Here is a 6,182-nt window from a genome sequence, read left to right as displayed (position 1 = left end):
AGGCTTCTAAACCTCTTAAAACTCCCCAACTCTGGTGCCAAATTAGACAATACTCTTTTAAGCACTACTTTTTAGTTATCTCCACCTGCCCAGTTCCCTTATTAGGCTGAGATACTTTAAATTATCTGCTTCCCTGACTATTCCTGGACTACAGCTATATCTCATTGCTGCCGTTCTTCCCAATCCAAAGCCTCCTTTGCGTCCTCCTCTTGTATCCCCCCACCTTAACCCACAAGTATAAGATACCTCTACTCCCTCCTTGGTGACCGATCATGCACCCCTTACCATCTCATTAAAACCTAATCACCTTTACCCGGTCAACACCAATATCCCATCCCACAGCATGCTTTAAAAAAATTAAAGCCTGTTATCACTTGCCTGCTACAGCATGGCCTTTTAAAGCCTATAAACTCTCCTTACAATTCCCCCATTTTACCTGTCCTAAAACCAGACAAGCCTTACAAGTTAGTTCAGGATCTGCGCCTTATCAACCAAATTGTTTTGCCTATCCACCCCATGGTGCCAGACCCATATACTCTCCTATCCTCAATACCTGCCTCTACAACCCATTATTCTGTTCTGGATCTCAAACATGCTTTCTTTACTATTCCTTTGCACCCTTAATCCCAGCCTCTCTTCGCTTTCACTTGGACTGACCCTGACACCCATCAGGCTCAGCAAATTACCTGGGCTGTACTGCCGCAAGGCTTCACAGACAGCCCCCATTACTTCAATCAAGCCCAAATTTCTTCCTCATCTGTTACCTATCTCGGCATAATTCTCATAAAAACACACGTGCTCTCCCTGCCAATCGTGTCCCACTGATCTCTCAAACCCCAGCACCTTCTACAAAACAACAACTCCTTTCCTTCCTGGGCATGGTTAGCGCGGTCAGAATTCTTACACAAGAGCCAGGACCGCACCCTGTAGGCTTTCTGTCCAAACAACTTGACCTTACTGTTTTAGCCTAGCCCTCATGTCTGCGTGCAGCGGCTGCCGCTGCTTTAATACTTTTAGAGGCCCTCAAAATCACAAACTATGCTCAACTCACTCTCTACAGTTCTCATAACTTCCAAAATCTATTTTCTTCCTCATACCTGATGCATATACTTTCTGCTTCTCGGCTCCTTCAGCTGTACTCACTCTTTGTTGAGTCTCCCACAATTACCGTTGTTCCTGGCCCGGACTTCAATCCGGCCTCCCACATTATTCCTGATACCACACCTGACACCCATGACTGTATCTCTCTGATCCACCGGACATTCACCCCATTTCCCCAAATTTCCTTCTTCCCTGTTCCTCACCCTGATCACGCTTGATTTACTGATGGTGGTTCCACCAGGCCTAATCGCCATGCACCAGCAAAGGCAGGTTATGCTATAGCACAAGCCACTAGCCCGCCTCTTAGAACCTCTCATTTCCTTTCCATCGTTGAAATCTATCCTCAAGGAAATAACTTCTCAGTGTTTCATCTGCTATTCTACTACCCCTCAGGGATTATTCAGGCCCCCTCCCTTCCCTACACATCAAGCTTGAGGATTTGCCCCACCCAGGACTGGCAAATTAGCTTTACTCAACATGCCCTGAGTCAGATAACTAAAATACCTCTTAGTCTAGGTAGATACTTTCGCTGGATAGGTACAGGCCTTTCCTACAGGGTCTGAGAAGGCCACCGCAGTCATTTCTTCCCTTCTGTCAGACATAATTCCTCAGTTTAGACTTCCCACCTCAATACAGTCTGATAACAGACCAGCCTTTATTAGTCAAATCAGCCAAGCAGTTTTTCAGGCTGTTAGTATTCACGAAACCTTTATATCCCTTACGGTCCTCCATCTTCAAGAAAAGTAGAATGGACTAAAGGTCTTTTAAAAACACACCTCACCAAGCTCTGCCACCAACTTAAAAAGGACTGGACAATACTTTTACCACTTTCCGTTCTCAGAAGTCAGACCTGTCCTCAGAATGCTGCAAGGTACAGCCCATTTAAGCTCCTGTATAGACGCTCCATTTTATTAGGCCCCAGTCTCATTCCAGACACCAGACCAACTTAGACTGTGCCCCAAAAAGACTTGTCATCCCTACCGTCTTCTGTCTAGTCATACTCCTATTCACCGTTCTCAACTACTCACACATGCCCTGCTCTTGTTTACACTGCCGGTTTACACTGTTTTTCCAAGCCATCACAATTGGTATCTCCTGGTGCTATCCCCAAACTGCCACTCTTAACTCTTGAAGTAAATAAATAATCTTTGCTGGCAGGACTATGCTGAATCTCCTTAGGCACTCTCTAATCAGATATCCTGAGTCGTCCCACTTCTTAGCCCTTTTATACCTGTTTTTCTCCTTCTGTTATTCCATTTAGTTTCTCAATTCATCCAAAACCATATCCAGGCCATCACCAATCATTCTATACGACAAATGTTTCTTCTAACATCCCCACAATATCACCCCTTACCAAAAGACCTGCCTTTGGCTTAATCTCTCCCACTCTAGGTTCCCATGCTGCCCCTAATCCTGCTTGAAGCAGTCCTGAGAAACATTGCCTGTTCTCTCTCCATACCAACCCCCAAAAATTTTCGTTGCCCCAACACTTCAACACTATTTTGTTTTATTTTTCTTATTAATATAAGAAGTTAGGAATGTCAGGCCTCTGAGCCCAAGCTAAGCCATCGCATCCCCTGTAACTTGCACGTATACACCCAGATGGCCTGAAGTAACTGAAGAATCACAAAAGAAGTGAATATGCCCTGCCCCACCTTAACTGATGACATTCCACCACAAAAGAAGTGTAAATGGCCGGTCCTTGCCTTAAGTGATGACATTACCTTGTGAAAGTCCTTTTCCTGGCTCATCCTGGCTCAAAAAGCACCTCCACTGGGCACCTTGTGACCCCCACTCCTGCCCGCCAGAGAACAAACCCTCTTTGACTGTAATTTTCCTTTACCTACCCAAATCATATAAAACGGCCCCACCCTTATCTCCCTTCGCTGACTCTCTTTTCAGACTCAGCCCGCCTGCACCCAGGTGAAATAAACAGCCATGTTACTCACACAAAGCCTGTTTGTTGGTCTCTTCACACGGACGTGCATGAAAGTATGTATCCAAAAATTCTCAAAATTCAAAAATACAAAAATTCTCATGTTAGTGTTATGCAGATGTTTACACAATACTTCTGTTTCTTTTGCTAACCTCCCATTTTTATACATCCTCAGTTCTTCTAGCTACCCTGCTACATCAATGTATTGCAGCATGTTGGTGGTATTGCATGTGACCTCTGTGTATTTCCCAAGTATTGTATACACCGTTTCATTTAAATTCAGAGGAAAAATGAATGCAATTTATTTTTGCTTAATAATAAGGGATCATCTTGCTTCAGCTGGATTCCTGTGACAGAGCTTAGTAAAACATTTGATGAAATCTTGATTAGGCCACACAAAGCATGATATTTGGGAAACATCAAGTGTGATTTGAGTTTTTATATAATTCTAACGGTAATGTCTCTTGTGCTGAATGAAATAATCAGATTAAATGTATGTACACTAATGATGTGTTTGTCATGAAAACAGAGCATGCAATTCCTTCATCAATGTGACAGGAGAGGACGATTTATTTAATTCACTGCTGATTTCCAAATAAATATTTTTTGTAATGAAACACTTCTGAGAGCTCTGATATTTCTGAAATGATTTTTTTGTGTCTAATTTGTATAGTCTATGGATGACAAGTAAGGTTTTACCCTTGGTGGCTTTGTTTTCCTTTATTTTCAATTCGAGAAGTTTAAAAGACGAATAGATAATGGGATGTTCAGAGACGAAGCTAGTGTATTTTTTAAAATATTGTAACCTCATTGCTTATGTACCCTTTACAAAACTAGATTTCTTCTGTTAGAGAGTTAGGATTTTAGTTATAAAGACTATCCTTACCTTAGAATTTTTCATGTCTTTGTTTCCCTTTCAACTAAATTCAAAATGCAATGAGAATCTTTGTGTACATCTGTGAGGGCTTGTATGTGTATGATTCTGTGTGTAAGTGCAGAGTTGTGTATGAGAGTGAATGAGTATGGATGTGTATGAGTTGTAGGGGGAAAGCATGGGCTCATATTAGCTTGACCGAGTGACAGTGATCAGTGGAACTAATAAGTGTTTAGTGACCTCATGAAACTAGTGAGAAATATTGTATTTCTCACAATATAGAATACCTTTGTTTCAAGGACACTCAGTAAGATTTTCTAGATCTTATGTAGGAAGTATATTCCACTGAATATTATTATAAAATCCAGTGTTTTCAAAGGAAAAGATAGCTATTCTATTGAGCTTTATAGTTGGGTAAATTATAGTTTAATTAGAGTTTAATAGTTATTTTGAAAATAAATTGCACTCATAAAGAATCGATGATAAGAGCAGAAAATAGAAGTTCATGAGATTATCAACTGAGTGACTGGTTCTTTCTAGGATTAATTCCACAATGTATTAAAAATACTTTATGAAACAGCTTTATTTCCCAGTGCTTTGTATTCTAATAACTCCCTTGAATATTGAAAATTTTATGTAAAAAAATTCAAATAATTCATATAATTCAGTGTCATGAAGTAGGAAAGAAGTAACTAGATTTAAGTGAATCAAGATATAAGAAAAGTAGAAATAAAGTAGTCCACAAATTAATGCCCAGTTCAATAAGAAACTCTTTATCAAAGGACATGGTATAATGAAGTATATTCTTCTGTGTATTCTGGACAAAGTCCTCTGCATGGACTAGATGTGAATGCTCAGATTGAAAAATCAGGAGTGAAAATGAAACATAGGTACACATGGAAATATTTACACAGTGATGGCAAGCAACAGTAAGCTGCTAAACATTTGATTCTGAAAATTTATTCTTAAATAAATATTTTTATTTTTGAATCAGCATTATTCATTTTACTACAAAGATTAACATATTTTTGCATGTAAGATAAGCTTTACTTTCTCTATTTCCCACTGAAATATGCTATTATTCCAATTTTTTTAATAAATGGTAATTTTTTCAATACTATTATATACCAAGTTCTATATACCAACACATATATAATTTGTAGTCTCTTGATTCTACTCTATTCTTTTTTCTTATATTTCTGCTTATATATGACAGTAGACTGATAAAATTCTATGGCATATTTTGACATCTAGTAGAACAAGTTACCTTTATTGGTTCTTTTTTCAAAAATGCATAAGCAATTTGTTCATCTTTACCTCTCTGACAGACACATACAAGGTGATCCCCTGATAAGTCATGACCTCATATAACCCCGTCCACTTGAATGAGAGTGGAACTTGAGTGAGGGTGAAAGTTGTGATTTGCTTTACCAAATAGAATATGGAAAATGTCATGGGATGTCACTCCCATGATCACATTCTTATTTATAAGACTCCATCTCAGTTGACCAGATTGAAAAACTTACTTGCTGGCTTTGAAGAGATAAGCTGCTATGTTACGTAAGGACCTGGGAGAGGGCCAGGTGGCAAGGCACTATGGGCATCCTTCAGGAGATAAGAGCACTCCCTGACTAACACTCAGCTAGAAAACTGCCATGGGGATAAATTTCGCTTACAACATGAATGATCTTGGAGTACAAGTCTTCCTCAGGCAAGCCTCCAGATAAGAATGCAGCCCAGTAAACACTAACTTTGGCCTTGTAAGATGTGAAGCAGAGAACTCTACCAAGCTATAACTAAGCTATACCCAAATTTCTCACCTAAAGAAACTATGAGATAACAAATTTGTGTTGGCTTAAGCCACTAAATTTGTTGTAATGGAAAATTAACATATTCTCAGGATAAATTTTAGAATAAAGTGTTACAGACTCTTGAGCAAAGGCAAACACTAAAATGTCTTGTGGTATAAAAGAAACTCAACATATTAAGGAAACTTTTCAAGCAGTATCAGAAAGATGAAACATAAAGCCCCCCTGTGTTTGAGTATCTGTGGAGAGGTGTGCTTGAGGTTTCATGCAGTTGGACACACTGCAGTTTTCTGCTCCAGTAAAGAAACTTGCCCTCTGCTTTCCATTTTCATGGCCTTTCTTGTGACAGTGGCTGTGGATAAGGTGGCTGCTTAGCTATTTAGGGGAGTCAAAACCTACCATGCAGCCAGACAACAGTAGTGATAGCATCTGGAGGGCATGAACACCTAGACCTTGCCAATCC

The 6,182-nt window shown here is 39.7% G+C and overlaps 2 annotated features.

Annotated features, from left to right (window-relative positions):
- Positions 710-1,211: an enhancer, noted in NCBI's record as "H3K27ac hESC enhancer chr7:9394915-9395416 (GRCh37/hg19 assembly coordinates)". NCBI's record gives its function as "activates a minimal SCP1, AML or CMV promoter by ChIP-STARR-seq in primed H9 embryonic stem cells {active_cell/tissue: H9 hESC(primed)}" and the evidence as "EXISTENCE:reporter gene assay evidence [ECO:0000049][PMID:30033119]".
- Positions 2,362-2,969: an enhancer, noted in NCBI's record as "OCT4-NANOG-H3K27ac hESC enhancer chr7:9393157-9393764 (GRCh37/hg19 assembly coordinates)". NCBI's record gives its function as "activates a minimal SCP1, AML or CMV promoter by ChIP-STARR-seq in naive and primed H9 embryonic stem cells {active_cell/tissue: H9 hESC(naive and primed)}" and the evidence as "EXISTENCE:reporter gene assay evidence [ECO:0000049][PMID:30033119]".

Source organism: Homo sapiens, chromosome 7 (assembly GCF_000001405.40).
Source record: "Homo sapiens chromosome 7, GRCh38.p14 Primary Assembly".
NCBI lineage: Eukaryota > Metazoa > Chordata > Mammalia > Primates > Hominidae > Homo > Homo sapiens.
Note: the sequence above shows the minus strand (reverse complement) of the source record. Positions and strands in the feature narration are given on the sequence as shown.